At 50.4% G+C, this 14,139-nt stretch overlaps 1 protein-coding gene and 1 long non-coding RNA gene across 15 annotated transcripts in view, besides 5 other annotated features; one reads left to right on the forward strand and one right to left on the reverse strand.

Moving 5' to 3' along the window:
* RAP1GAP2 (RAP1 GTPase activating protein 2) overlaps nt 1–14,139 on the forward strand; it is a 282,097-nt gene that overhangs the window by 200,132 nt on the left and 67,826 nt on the right. For 9 of the 14 annotated variants that reach the window (XM_047435668.1, NM_001411048.1, XM_024450659.2 and 6 more), the window contains 5 exons: nt 1,983–2,018; nt 6,894–6,938; nt 7,654–7,686; nt 8,080–8,292; nt 9,764–9,867. In XM_047435668.1, coding sequence (XP_047291624.1) covers nt 1,983–2,018; nt 6,894–6,938; nt 7,654–7,686; nt 8,080–8,292; nt 9,764–9,867 — 431 coding nt within the window. The remainder of the gene's footprint in view (nt 1–1,982; nt 2,019–6,893; nt 6,939–7,653; nt 7,687–8,079; nt 8,293–9,763; nt 9,868–14,139) is intronic. The other 5 variants (NM_001438816.1, NM_001438818.1, NM_001100398.2 and 2 more) reach the window with 1 other exon arrangement.
* Nucleotides 690–1,318: an enhancer, noted in NCBI's record as "H3K27ac-H3K4me1 hESC enhancer chr17:2859760-2860388 (GRCh37/hg19 assembly coordinates)". NCBI's record gives its function as "activates a minimal SCP1, AML or CMV promoter by ChIP-STARR-seq in primed H9 embryonic stem cells {active_cell/tissue: H9 hESC(primed)}" and the evidence as "EXISTENCE:reporter gene assay evidence [ECO:0000049][PMID:30033119]".
* Nucleotides 1,319–1,948: an enhancer, noted in NCBI's record as "H3K27ac-H3K4me1 hESC enhancer chr17:2860389-2861018 (GRCh37/hg19 assembly coordinates)". NCBI's record gives its function as "activates a minimal SCP1, AML or CMV promoter by ChIP-STARR-seq in primed H9 embryonic stem cells {active_cell/tissue: H9 hESC(primed)}" and the evidence as "EXISTENCE:reporter gene assay evidence [ECO:0000049][PMID:30033119]".
* Nucleotides 4,337–4,878: an enhancer, noted in NCBI's record as "H3K27ac-H3K4me1 hESC enhancer chr17:2863407-2863948 (GRCh37/hg19 assembly coordinates)". NCBI's record gives its function as "activates a minimal SCP1, AML or CMV promoter by ChIP-STARR-seq in primed H9 embryonic stem cells {active_cell/tissue: H9 hESC(primed)}" and the evidence as "EXISTENCE:reporter gene assay evidence [ECO:0000049][PMID:30033119]".
* On the reverse strand, nt 6,471–10,119 carry RAP1GAP2-AS1 (RAP1GAP2 antisense RNA 1). Its single transcript, NR_110818.1, has 3 exons — nt 8,656–10,119; nt 8,104–8,189; nt 6,471–7,467 (listed from the first exon to the last, which is right to left on the reverse strand). It is a non-coding gene; the product is annotated as an RAP1GAP2 antisense RNA 1 (long non-coding RNA).
* Nucleotides 9,452–9,952: an enhancer, noted in NCBI's record as "H3K4me1 hESC enhancer chr17:2868522-2869022 (GRCh37/hg19 assembly coordinates)". NCBI's record gives its function as "activates a minimal SCP1, AML or CMV promoter by ChIP-STARR-seq in primed H9 embryonic stem cells {active_cell/tissue: H9 hESC(primed)}" and the evidence as "EXISTENCE:reporter gene assay evidence [ECO:0000049][PMID:30033119]".
* Nucleotides 9,953–10,453: an enhancer, noted in NCBI's record as "H3K4me1 hESC enhancer chr17:2869023-2869523 (GRCh37/hg19 assembly coordinates)". NCBI's record gives its function as "activates a minimal SCP1, AML or CMV promoter by ChIP-STARR-seq in primed H9 embryonic stem cells {active_cell/tissue: H9 hESC(primed)}" and the evidence as "EXISTENCE:reporter gene assay evidence [ECO:0000049][PMID:30033119]".

Raw genomic sequence — 14,139 nt, forward strand, 5'->3', positions numbered from 1 at the left:
GAATTTGTTCATTTTATCGAAGTTATCTAATTTATTGACCTATAGTTTATAGTACTTGTATTTTATTCTGTGAGTGTAGCTTCTTTTAACCAATTTTCTGCAGACTTTTAAGTTGTTTTTATTTTTTTACTGTTAGAAACGATGCTGCAGTGAACATTTGAGCCTGTCTGTCTTTGTGCACATTGCAAGTGTGTTAGAGGATGGATTGTTAGACGTGGAATCGCGTGTCAGAGGTCCGTGTATTTAACATGTTGATTGCTTCTGTTGCATTATCCTCCTCCTGTTCATCTTTCTATCCGTATTGATTGGTATAAGCTCTTTACGTCTGCTAATCCTGGTCTCCTAAGCCTGGAGATGGTAAGAATGCCCCGCGTGGGTGGTGCATGTGCACCTGAGCAAGTTGGAAGAGGAGGTTTGGCATCTGGATGTTTGGCGGCTCACTTCTGGTCAAGGGAGTTGGGCGCGGGTGCCCTAAGCCCACCCCTGTACATTCACACGTGGGGTTTCTAGATGCCAGATCCTGAACTGCTGGTAGGTCGGAGCTTTTTGCCTCTGACACGCTGGCTTTGGCCTGACAGAGGTTGTCTGGAGTCAACAGCAGGGCTGGGTCTCTCCAGGGACTTCACCAGGCTCCTTCCCAGGGCGGGTCTGGGAATTCTGGGAGCAGTGGGAGCTCCAGGCAGTTCTGGCCCATGGGTGCCTGCAGAGGTAGGAAGAGTGCTTGGAGGCCCCACCTCTGCCTGAAGAAGAACCGAGGACACTGTTCCTCATCCCTGCTTTCTTTTCTCTCGTCTTCACTGGGGACTGTCTGTTCTGGGCACTCATGACCTCCCGGCTTCGCGGTGCCCAGATGTGGGCAGTGACATTAGTCTGAGGAGGAGTAGCTGTTTTCAGGGGATAGGAAGTGGGGTGGCCTCTGTGTGTTTTGTTGGGGTAGAGTTGCCAGCCCCTCACGCTTCCATTCCGCTTCCCTTTTCTCCTTTTTGTTTTTCCTGGATACACAAGGGTGGCACCAAAGTAGGTCAAAGGTTTGGACAAGTGCAATTGGGATTTTAAAAATAACCCATCTAGGCTGGGCGTGGTAGCTCACGCCTGTAATCCCAGCACTTTGGGAGGCCAAGGCGGGAGGATCACAAGGTCAGGAGTTCGAGACCATCCTGGCCAACATAGTGAAACCCCGTCTCTACTAAAAATACAAAAAATTAGCCGGGCACGATGGCGGGCGCCTGTAGTTCCAGCTACTCGGGAGGCTGAGGCAGGAGAATGGCGTGAACCCGGGAGGCGGAGGTTGCAGTGAGCCGAGATTGCGCCACTGCACTCCAGCCTGGGTGACAGAGCGAGACTCTGTCTCAAAAAAAAAAAAAAAGAAAAAAAAAATCCCTCTAGGCCCCTGGAGGCCTCGGTTCAATGGTGTTCAGGCTTTGCTTCACCAGCTTTAGGGTGCCAGAGTGGTGCCTTGTGGGCAGGGGACCGGGCAGGCAGAGGCAGAGGTGGCATAGCGGGCCCTCCCCCTCCTTCCCTGGCTGCTGTGGCCACAGCGACCCTGCTTTCACCGGTTGGTTTTCTGTATCAGGGTGTGGAACGCCGCTTGTGTTGGACACCTTGGCCCCACTGTTGGGTTGAAAACATCCTAAATATGGCTCCTGCCGGAGGCTGAATGCCGAGGACGATAGGCGTTTGCAGAATTTGGCTCTTCCCAGGGGCCGGCAGGCCCCTTTCCTTGACAGAGGCTGAGTGTCTGCTCCCCCAGCACCATTCATTTGCCAGCCCAGGTGTGCCTTAGCCTCTCTCCTGTTGTATGGGGTGTTTGGCCCTCTAGCCCTGCAAAGGCAAAATCAAATTATCTTCTCTGTTGATCCAAATGAATTTTGTCCCTGGGGAAGCCCCAGGCTCAGCTTCCTGATAGTTGGTGAGGAAGAGGCTTTTGCTGTGGACCTCCCGGCTGATCCCTGTCTTTCTGTCCCCCTGCTTTTGTCTTTCAGTCGTCGGAGTTCTTTGAGATGCTGGAGAAAATGCAGGTGAGTACGTACCCCCACCGTGGCGGGGAAGAAGCCCAGCCCCAGATGTGGGTGGCATAGGGACCAGGCAGAACCCACGGGCAGAAGCCGGGTGCCCTGGACGGGGGTGCAGAGAAGAGACAATTGCATCCCCTTGGCCCAGACAACCTGAGGCCATTTTGCTGTTGAGGGGTACGGAGCACTTTGGGAAGACTCCTGCGGAGGGACAGGGAGGATAAAAGCAGAACTTCCCCAGCAGGGCAGCTGGGGAGGCCATAAGCCCTGTGGATGTGGAGGAGGGTTTGAAGGGTCCATTGTTCCTAGCACGAGCTGGAAAGAAGGCCTGAAAGAACTAGCTGCTTCTTGGAGGAGTCATCTTGCATAGGGAGGCAGAGGGGTGGGGTGGGAGGCTGGCTTGTGTTCAAGTCCTGCACCAGACACTTACTAGCACCAGTTCCTTTCCTGTGCTAAGCCTCCATAAATAAATAAGAATGAATGCACCCACTTACATGGTGGTTGGGGTGAAATGAGATAATCGGTGTAAATACTTGGTAGACACTACATAAAAGTTGGTGTGTGATGTGGGTTTGGGGGTTCTTCGTTGTTCCTCACCAGGGTCAGGGCTCCCAGGTAAGAGCTGCTGCCCTGGGGAGTATGTGCAGAGGCCCGGCAGGGTTCATTGACGTGGGCGGGAAGACTGGGAAGACAATGCTGATAATACACCTGTAGCTCAAGCACTTCACTGGGCTCAGAGATTGACAGGCGTCATTTCTTCCTGCTAAGGCCTTCAGAAGTAGGCATATTATTATTATTATTATCCCCATAGGACAGGTGAGAAAATCGAGGCACAGAACAATTAAAGGCAGCACTCAAAGGGTGCGTGGCTCATAAGTAGCTTCAGAGCCAGAGAGTCCAGCCATTATGTCATGATGCTTTTTACCATAAGTAGGTGCTCCAGGCTCAAGGGAGGAAGATTCTGCAATAATGGTCTGGAAGTCCTAGGAGGAGGGGCAAATACAGCACCCACGGCAGTCCTGAGATGTGGGCCAAGCAGCCAGGTGTCCCTGAGGGTGGGGAGGGAGGGGAGACGCTGTTTGAAGGGAAAGTATTGTTACTGCCGTGTCACCGAGAGCCAGTTATTAAAATTGTCCTCTGCGCCCAGCAGCGTGTAGATGACAGACTCATCTTCTACGCATTTAGGGAACTTATCATCAGCTTGCGGAAACCAGGCTGGCATGTGCCTCACAGTGAGGGGTGGGAGATGGTATATAATCAAGTGCTCCATTGCTTGGAGCAAAGCTGGGATTTTCGCCTCTAGTCAGTGGGATCCTGGCACTCTGGGAAGCTGGCAGGGGGTTTGCAGCCCACCCAGCCTTCTCTCCGGTTGCTCCTCAGATCCTCTCTTCCTTCTCCCCCAGCTGGAGTCCCCTTCCCACAACTTTGCCCCACACAGGGTCTCTCTGAGCACAGCATTCAGCCCCAGTTAACCAGCCTCAGAGTGTTGTGTTGTGTAGAGGCTGCAGGGCTTGTCTGTTCATGTAGATCGGGTGCTTTCTAGGGTAGGGGTCTTGTTTTATTCTCCCTCTGTCTGTGCAATGGCTGATCCCCCTGGGTAGCGTGCCTGTTCCCTTTCAGTTGAGACTGTTGAAGCCAAATTTCTGGGTGTTTAAGTCCCTACCATGTGCCCCCTGGGCCCAGCCTCAGAGGGTTCACTCTTAGTAAGAAGCTCACGTATGGGGCACTGCTGGCCATGGAGTGCCCGCGTGGGCCTTGAGCCTGGGCTCCATCTCTCTTCATCTTGCACGTGTGGAAACTGAAGCTCAGAGCAGTGAAGCGCCCGGGTCACTTAGCTAGTTGTGAAGAGCTGAAACTGGAATCCGGGATTCCCGATACCTAGCCCAAGAGTCTGGGAACTGGGAGAAGGCAGAAGCTTTGGATTCCTTCAGTCCTGGGTTCAGGTTCTAACCCTGACGCTTTCTAGCTGAGTATCTTCAGTCAAGTCGGTTTCCCCTTCTGAGCCTTAATTTCTTCACTGAGGGGAGAAGGGGAAATAAAGATAATACCCATTGTGGCCAGTTGCGGTGTCTCACACCTGTCATCCCAGCACTTGGGAGGTCGAGGCAGGTGGATCGCCTGAGGTCAGGAGTTCGAGACCAGCCTGGCCAACCTGGTGAAACCCTGTCTCTACTAAAAATAGAAAAATTAGCTGGGTGTGGTGGCACACGCCTGTAATCCCAGCTACTTGGGAGGCTGAGGCAGGGGAATCTCTTGAACCCGGGAGGTGGAGGCTGCAGTGAGCCGAGATTGCGCCACTGCATTCAGCCTGGATGGCAGAGCAAGACTCCATCTCAAAAAAAAAAAAAAAAAACAACAAAAAAAGACAATACCTCTAGCAAAATAGCACATGGAGGAGAGAGGGCCCCGTGCTGGGCAGTGGCTCTGCGGTAGGTTATTAGGGGAGGGAGTGGCGTGGGGAGGGGATGGGAGGAAGTTTGCTCTCCTGCCCTCGGGGCTGTTCCCAGACAGGGATGACTAATGCAGGCCAAACAAAACAGACTCCTGCCCTCACTGCCCCCACCCGCCATCTGCCCAGTTTGCCAGCTGGGACAGGGTCTGTAGGGCCACCCAGGTGGCTTTGTGTGTGTGTGAGGGGAGCGCCTGTTCAGTGGGAACGGCCCTCCCACGCCCTCCTGAACAATGCTGCAAGGCGACTCAGCCCAGGGAAGTCCGCAGAGGCTGCATGTCAATCCACCCAGTTAACAGGAGCCCTGCTGTCCACAGAGTGTGGGGTACGTCACGCGCTTGGTGAGCCGGTGACCCGGCTTCAAATCTAGGCCCTGCCACTCACTGGCTGTGTGACCTTAGGCAAGCAGCCTCCTTCTGGGGCCCCAGTGTCCTCGCTGGTGGAAAGTGCTGTGAGTTTCAAAGGAGGCCACAGAGAGAGCTAGCTTGGGAAGGTCAAAATCCCTGTGCATTAGTGTTGTGACCAGGCAGACGCTGCTTCTGGACTCCTTCTGCTTCAGAGGGGACCTGTTTCTTCTAGTTTGTGTACCGTCTCATACTGTCACCCGATTTTCTCAGATAGTCTTGGAAACACCACGTGTTCCCCTCCTGCACAACACGGTTAAGTCAGAACTCAGTGATAGAACTGCTGGACCAGGGCCAGGCGCAGTGGCTCACGCCTGTAATCCCAGCACTTTGGGAGGCTGAGGCGGGTGGATCACCTGAGGTTGGGAGTTCAAGACCAGCCTGGGCAACATGGTGAAACCCCATCTCTACTAAAAATGCAAAAAACTAGCTGGGCATGGTGGCACATGCCTGTAATCCCAGTTACTTGGGAGGCTGAGGCAGGAGAATCACTTGAACGCGGGAGGTGGAGGTTGCAGTGAACCGAGATCCCACCACTGCACTCCAGCCTGGGCAACAAGAATGAAACTCCATCTCAAAAAAAAAAGAAGAGGCTGGGTGCAGTGGCTCACGCCTATAATCCCAGCACTTTGGGAAGCCAAGGCGGGTGGATCACCTGAGGTCAGGAGTTCGAGACCAGCCTGGCCAACATGGTGAAACCTCGTCTCTACTAAAAATACAAACATTAGCTGGGCGTGGTGGTACATGCCTGTAATCTCAGCTACTCGGGAGGCCGAGGCAGGAGAATTGCTTGAACCTGGGAGGTGGAGGTTGCAGTAAGCCGAGATCATACCACTGCACTCCAGCCTGGGCAATAGAGAGAGACTCCGTCTCAAAAACAAAAACAAACAAACAAACAAAACTGTTGGACAGGGCACTGCTCCCCAGAAGTGAATTCTTCAGATACCTGTAGATAAACTCCCTTAGTCCAGTCCCAGGCATCATATCTGATCCTTGCAGTCATCCTTCCATTAGTGAGATGAAAGGTGAGCGTCTAATCCTCATTTTACAGATGACACTGGGGGCTCCAAGAAGCTACGCTTTGTCAAGGGTCACAAATAGTAAGTTCGCAGCAGAATGAGGGCCAGCACCAGGCCTCCTGCCTGTCCCTTGAAGGCCTGTTGGCGTGGGCTCTAGAGCGCTGGCTCCGACACCAACAGGCATGACTTCCTATGTTTCCCTTCCCTTACTGGCTCTGTGACCCTAAGGATTTTTTTTTTTTTTTTTTTTTTTTAATTTGAGACGGAGTTTCGCTCTTGTTGCCCAGGCTGAAGTGCAATGGCGCGATCTCGGCTCACTGCAACCTCTGCCTCCCGGGTTCAAGCAATTCTACCGCCTCAGCCTCCTGAGTAGCTGGGATTACAGGCATGCGCCACCACGCCCAGCTAATTTTGTATTTTTAGTAGAGACAGGGTTTCTCCATGTTGGTCAGGCTGGTCCTGAGCTCCTGACCTCAGGTAATCTGCCCGTCTTGGCCTCCCAAAGTGCTGCGATTACAGGCGTGAGCCACTGTGTCCGACAAGACAGCTATTTAAGCTTTGAATGATAATACCGCCTCCTTCATGATGATAATGACCCACAGCATTTATTATATACCAGTCAGTGTTCCAAGTGCTCAACCCATTGTTAACCTTTAACCTTCACCACCATAGTCGATGCCATCATCATTCCCATTTTACAGATGAGAACATTGAGTCACAGAGAGGTTTCTGTGACTTGCCAAGGTCATCAGGCTGATAGGTGGCAGTGTTGGGATTTGAACCCCGGCGATCTGGCTCAAGTCTATGCTGTTAGCCCAGCGGCGCTGTTGCCTCACCTGAGGCTGCTGTGAGGCCCGCCCCTGGCCAGGTGTGATGTGTGCAGGCCCAGCACGGGCCAGCTTTTGCTGCTGCTCCTGTTACTAACCCCCTGTAAGGCCAGGTGCTCTTTATCTGGCCCTGTCTTCTGACCTTTGCTTTTCTGTGGATCCTGTTTTCCTTGTTTCTATAGGGGATCAAGCTTGAAGAGCAGAAGCCGGGACCCCAGAAGAACAAGGTGGGCTGGGTGGGTGAGGGGGTGGCCAGACGGCCCTGGTGAGGGGCTAGGGCGAGAGGAAGGCAGGAGGGGCTGCCGGGATGCTGGGGTCTTCTGTCTCACACCTGTCTAACTCTGACTCGCACCACGGGCCGCTTCACGACTGCCTTGTTAGACCAGTGCACGGTGGGCAGCAGAGGGGTCCTGGCTTGATGCCTTAGGACAGCTTCAGAGCAGGCTGGGGGTGGAGGCCTCGGTGGGACCTCAGGCTTGGCCGTTTGGCCCGGCTCTTCCCTACCCTGTGCAGTGTGTAAGGGTGTCAGGCTCTGTGCCCCGGGTTCCAGTGGGCAGTCAGCTCTCAGCTTCCCAACCCAGGGGTGCCGCTTATCACTTGGAGGTCAGTCCGCCTGCCTGGAAAGGGGTGCTGGGGGAGACTAGGGGTCATTTTCCGGAATGAGCGTTCTAGGATGAGAAGCTGGTATCACGAGGGGTGAGAAGTTCAGCACCTTCGGACACTGCATCATCAGCTGGCAGGGTTTATGTTTGGGTTCTGTCAGTTTGGAGAAGAACATGGGGGATGTTAGATTCCAGAGCTGATTCTGAGCTGTTCTTCCATCGAATGTTCCTCCCTCAAAGCCCCCCCACAACATATCCCCCTTGCAAGACCTGGAAACAGTGGTCAGACTTTACGGGCACTGCCGGGACTAACGGTGGCATCATCTGGTTTGTCTTGCAGGACGACTATATCCCATACCCCAGCATCGACGAGGTAGGTGCCCTCCCCTCACTCCCACCTGCCCTGCAGCCTGCTCTGGGTCCCGTCCCTGGGGAAATGATGGCGATGGCCTGTGCCCAGCCCCCCAGGGGAGAGAACCTTGGGCCTGGGACCTCTCTTCCTGTCTTTGCCTTTGTAACCTCAGCTTCTCCATGTGTTAAGTTGGGGGTGCTCATCTAGGCCTTTCAGCCCTGGGGCTACAGGGTTGGCGAATGAAGCTGGAGGTGTTGTGGGGCTTGGAGGAGGGGTTCATGTCACTGCCTTTGGCCTCAAGTACCAGTGGGTACCAGGCCCCACTCCTGGGAGCAGCGCAGAGGGGACACCGCCACCGGCCCCCTCCCTCCCCTGCGGTCCCAGGGGAGCGCACGACCCTCCCTCTGCCTTCAGGTTGTGGAGAAGGGAGGCCCGTACCCTCAGGTCATCCTGCCACAGTTTGGGGGCTATTGGATCGAGGACCCGGAGAACGTGGGCACCCCAACATCGCTGGGGAGCAGCATCTGTGAGGAGGAGGAAGAGGACAACCTCAGCCCCAACACATTTGGCTACAAGCTCGAGTGCAAGGGTGAAGCCAGGGCCTACCGGAGGCACTTCCTGGGGAAGGTGAGGCTGGGGGAGAGGAGCTGCTGGGGGTTGGGGGCAGAGGCTGGGGACGCTGGGAGAGAGGAGGTACCAGGCGGTAGGGGATGGGGAGAGGTTGAGGGAGGCTGTGGGAGGCTGTGGGAGAGGAGCTGCCAGGGGTGGGGGTGAGGCTGGGAGAGGCTGTGGGAGAGGAGCTGCCGGGGATGGGGGTGAGGCTGGGGGAGGCTGTGGGAGAGGAGCTGCGGGGGGTGGGGGTGAGGCTGGGGGAGGCTTGGGGGACAGAGGAGCTGGCGGGGGTGGGGGGAGGGGCTGGGGGCCCTGGGGGAGAGGAGCTGGCGGGGGTGGGGGTAGGGCAGAGTGCCCCCCTTTTCCTTGGCCTCTTACCTCCTTCCTAGTCTGTCCTTTTGTTGCTGCCTGCTGCTGTCTTAGTTGGAGAGGTCTGAGGGCCTCTGTCCTGGGATAGGGGACGGGGCAGGGGAGCCATGTAACAATCAGGGAGGCCCAGTGCCATGAGTCCTTGTGGGGACCACCCCCCGCAAATGTTTCGGGAGGCGATGGAATGGGTAGTGTTTGGGGTGAAGGACGGTGGCTGGAGTTTTGACTGTTCGAGGAAAAATGTGTTCTCACACCTCAAGAAGTCTCTGTTTCCATCTAAATCACGCAAATCTCTCCGTCCTCATTCAGGCAGATCCTCTGAGTGCTTGTACTGCATAGTGTCTGCGAGCCTCTGATTGCTTAAAAGTGACAAAGTTAAATTTAAAAGAATAGATTCTGCCCTTCAGATTTACCAGGTTCTTGATGTACTGAGGGCAGATTCCGGAAATCTGTAGCCTGAGGCCGCTTTGCAGAGTCTCACGTGACGGGAGGCTGCCTCAGAGCCCCTGGGTCTTGTTAGCATGCAGATTCCAGGGCCTCAGTCTGATCCAGCAGGTCTGGGGAGCTGTGTTTTTCGCCCGTGTTCCCCGAGCCAGGGAGTGACCCACTGGCTCAGGACACCTCCCAGCTCCCCTGGGTGGAGGTGCCAGGGTTCCTCCTTGCTGTCTTGCCCCAGATAGTGTGAACTGGTGAGGGCCGCCCCATGGGAATGAGAATGTGGACTCGGTATCTTGTGGTTAAGAACTTGCCCTTCAGAGTCAAGACAGCTGTGCGTTTGAACCCTGGATCTGTCCCTTACTCATCGTGTCATCCTGGGCAGTGACTTAACCCCCCGACCATTGGTTTTCCCATCTGTGAAATGGGGATGATGTTCTCTCCCGGATACAGCTGTGGTCAGGACTGAAGGAGATAGTGGGTATTAAGCCCCTGGCACGGTGCCTGGCGCCTCCTGAGGATCCGGCCGTCGGTACCTGTTAATGTCGTTGTCATTGTCATCAGTAGCATCCTTCTCTTCCTTGTTGCTGTGGGGCTTCTCCTGGTGAAGGAGGTGGTTTAGGGGGAACATACCTGGAAGGTTTCTTCCTCCTTCCTGCTCACACTCAGTTTCTTTTTTTAGGATCATCTAAACTTTTACTGTACCGGCAGCAGCCTGGGGAACTTGATCCTGTCCGTCAAGTGCGAGGAAGCAGAGGGGATCGAGTACCTCCGGGTCATCCTTAGGTAGGGCTGTTGCGCTGCTTGAGGCCACTTCTCTTCCAGGCAGGGCTCTCATCGGTGGTGTGGGGGCTGGGATGGGACTCAGAAATACCAGACTGACCAGTCTGGTCTGGGTGCACTGGCTGACGGGGACAGGCCTGCTGGAATCCTGGGGCTGTGTCTGAAGTTGCCTAGCAGGGAGACCCACGCGCTCCACCAGTTAGCTGACAGTCAGAGGGGCATCCAGGTCTCAAGGTCACCCAGACTGTACCCCTTCCTGCCCCTCTTTCTTACAAGTCCATGGCTCTGAGGAAGACGGGAAGAAAAGTAGGGATGGTTCAGTGTGACTCATCCTGCTGAGACACAGCTCCGAGTCCTGGGAGAGGGTTCGCCAGAGTGCTGCCTGTGGTATACATCTTGCCAGGAAAGATAGTGCCCTGTGTGTTTGTTGTATGGGCTGGGTTCCCTGAGATGCACTGATGTTCACAACAGGAGCACTGATTTATAGCGGAAGCCAGGGCACCTCTCTCTGGATTGTGACCTTCTCAAGGGCAGGAGCTGGAACTGGTTTCTGTTTGGTTTAGCTAACATGTTTTGTAAAACCTCCTCTGTACCAGGAACTGCGATAGGTGTTAGAGATACCATGATGGCTGAGACTTGGTCCCTGTTCTCTGAAAGGCATATGGTTTCATGAATTTAATGTGTGTCACGGGTATGATTTTAGCAATATGCACAGGTTGCTATGGGGGCACGAAGGAATCTGTGTCTTATTTATCTCTGTCCCTGGTTGGGTGGTGCTTAGCAGAATGCTGTGAACCTGTCAGGCTCTCAATCCTTATTTGTGGAGTCTAATTGAAGATTCATAAAGGTATTTGGAAAAGAGCAATCACATTTTTTTTTCCTGCCCAAATTTTGAGATAAATATTGGAGGGAATAAGGACATATAACCCCACTTTGGGAAAGGTGGGGGTCCGTGGTTTCAGGATGTCGTCAGCACCCATCCAATCTTAGTTTGTTTCTTATCAAGAAAGGAAGCAATTTTCTCTACAGAGGTTCACTTGGCTGGAAATCATATTTGCAAGGCATAGAAGAGTCAATTAAATAGCAAGAGCCAATTTTCTGAGAGGTTAATACCTGGATCTCCATCTCCAAATAGGATTTCCAGCTAGGTGAACCTCTGTGAAGAAAATTGCTACCTTAATAAAAATCAGACCGAGACTGGGTAGCATTTTTGAATAAGATGACAATGGAATACAAAGATCTAACCCCCTTTTTCTAATACTGTATCCTCCATTAGGACTGGAAATGCTGCTTCGGGGCTGAAAGCTAAGAAAAATGCCGGGCACGCAACACGCACTTTGATGGTTTTTTGTTTTTGTTTTGTAATCTATGGGGGCAGTTAGGACTAAAAGTAGGTGAATATTGAGAGTTGAACCCCAGATTCTCTTCCTTAGAAAGCAGTGTTGTGGCCAGGCACGGTGGCTCACGCCTGTAATCCCAGGACTTTGGGAGGTCAAGGCGGGTGGATCACGAGGTCAGGAGATCGAGACCATCCTGGCTAACACGGTGAAACCCCGTCTCTACTAAAAATACAAAAAAAAATTAGCTGGGCGTGGTGGCGGGTGCCTGTAGTCCCAGCTACTCAGGAGGCTGAGGCAGGAGAATCACCTGAACCCAGGAAGCAGAGGTTGCAGTGAGCAAGGATCGCACCACTGCACTCCAGCCTGGGCGACAGAGTGAGACTCTGTCTCAACAACAACAACGATGACAACAACAACGACGACAACAACAAAAAGCAATGTCGTATGGGAATATATGAAGTTGGAGATCTAGAAGAATCCTGTCCTCTTTAGGAGTGAGAGTGAGCCCTGGAATAGACAGGGATCTTTCCACATAGAATTATTTTTGTTGTTGTGGGTCAACAGCATTGAAATCAATGCCCCAGGAAGCCCAGCAAGCTCAAATGTGGCTCTCCCAGATGGAAAGCTAGTAGGTAGGGTGGTGACGAGAAGCCGTACCCCAGCTCGGAAGTTGGGCAGTCACATCATGTACTTGGAGTGATTGCCAGGCCAAATTGGAAACCAGACATAAGAAATTGGCTCCACGGTTTAGCAGCTTTGCCAGACACAAAGAAGAAATTATCCAGAGATGAAATTCCCCTGCTGGCGGTGACTACTGTCCAAACTTCTTCCTCATTCCCCATAGGCTTCTGGATTTTTTAACGGATGTCCCAAATTTATAACAAGCAGCTCTCCAGTCTAAGATCTAAGTATTCTAACAGCCTGTGTGTGCCATGAGAGTAGCCAAGAAGAATCTACCCACAGTTTGGAGACAATGAGCCTGTGTAGATTTCTTCTGTTTCAAGTTTGGATATAAAGAAGAAGAAGTTTTATGGGTTTGTAAAAGAAGAGATTCTGCCTCTAAAAAAGCATAAACTAGTTAGAGAATAACAGAGTTTTGAAAAGTATTTACTTTTACAGAAAGCCAGGTGAATTTGAGAGATTTATTAACTTTGAATTTTCCACAAACCTCTAGAAAAAATACACACTAAGAAAGAAAAGATAGAGTGAGCCAACAGAATGGGAGGAAACAGTTGCTGGTTAAGTTAGGGAGATAATAAAATAAAAATGGACAAAAAGAATTTTAAATAGTATATGAAACAGTACAAAGCAGAATCTACTTTGTAGAAAATCCAGTTATTAATATGGGGAACAAGCTTAAGAAACTCTCACATAATTCAAAGGAAACACAACTTTAAAATGATGAGTGAGATGATGATGAATATGGAGGGTAGTGAGCAGGAATTACACATATGGATAATTGATGTTGTCAAGCTGATTGAAGACTTAAATCTGAAAATCAAAATGACTCACCCATTAACAGACAAAATCAATGAAAGGAAACTAATTGCTGGATGTACTTTGATGAAAATTTAGTATTTCATAGATATAAAGTTACTAGTAGTAGAATGGAAGCATTCCAAATAGTAAGAGAAGACAAAGAAAACACACTTTGTCTGTAGAAAAAGAAAACAAAGGAATAATAAAGAAATATGATAGAAGTGTGCGTACATATGTGATGATAATAAATATAAATGACTTAAATTCGATTGTTAACAAAGATTCTCGATTTGGGTCATCTCTCCAAAAAACCTACACAAATTGATCTATATTTTATTAAAGAAAGTAACTCAGAATATTTGAAAATTGTTAAGAAAAAAATTAGAAAAGTCAAATACAAAAAGAAAGCGGGATTGGCAATATTAATATAGAAAAGTAGAATTCAAGGCAAAAAAGCAATCAGTGTGATAAAGAGGGCTATTATCCATCTTTTCATAAAAGGTAAAATCAATAATGATATTTTATATTGTCAGTAGTATATATTATAGTATATGTATATGTACACATGTATGTAATGATTATGGAAAAATTCACAGAATACAATTGTAATGGTAGATTTTTAACACACATCACTTGACATATCAATACTAGGGTTAGAAATGACATTTATTCATCTCAATATCAATTATATACATATTTTTCTTTATCTATCTATCTATCTATATATATATATATCTGTTTCTGTATCTAACTATCAGACTTTGATCCTCTAACAGATTTTACTTCTTTTCAATTGCCTTTGGAATATTTACACAAATTGATTGCATAGTAGATCAGTGGTTTTCTGTGGACCTGCTACATCAGAATCATTTTGGATCTTTAAAACAAAGTAAAACAAAGCAAAAACAAACAAAAAAGCCCAACAAACAAAAACCAAAACCTAGACTTCTAGGCTCCAACCCAACCATTTGAAACACACACACACACACAATAAATAAATAAATAAGATATGTAAAGATGTGTAAATATATATATTCTTTTTTTTTTTTTTTTTTTTTTTGAGATGGAGTCTTGCTCTGTTGCCCAGGTTGGAGTGCAGTGGTGCAATCTTGGTTTATTGCAACCTGCAACTCCCAGGTTCAAGCAATTGTCCTGCCTCAGCCTCCCAAGTAGCTGGGACTACAGGCTCATGCCACCACACCTGGCTAATTTTTTTGTATTTTCAGTAGAGATGGGGTTTCGCTGTGTTGGCCAGGCTTGTCCCGAACTCCTGACCTCAGGTGATCTGCCCTCCTCTGCCTCCCAAAGTGCTGGGATTACAGGCGTGAGTCACCGCGTCTGGCCTAAATATATATATTCTTATTTCCTTCCTTATTTCCACAGGATTCTGTAGAATTCTGTAACTTGCTTCTCTTAACAATGTATCTTAGAGATTTTTCCGTATTAGCATATAGAG

Source organism: Homo sapiens, chromosome 17, assembly GCF_000001405.40.
Source record: "Homo sapiens chromosome 17, GRCh38.p14 Primary Assembly".
NCBI classification, from domain to species: Eukaryota; Metazoa; Chordata; class Mammalia; order Primates; family Hominidae; genus Homo; species Homo sapiens.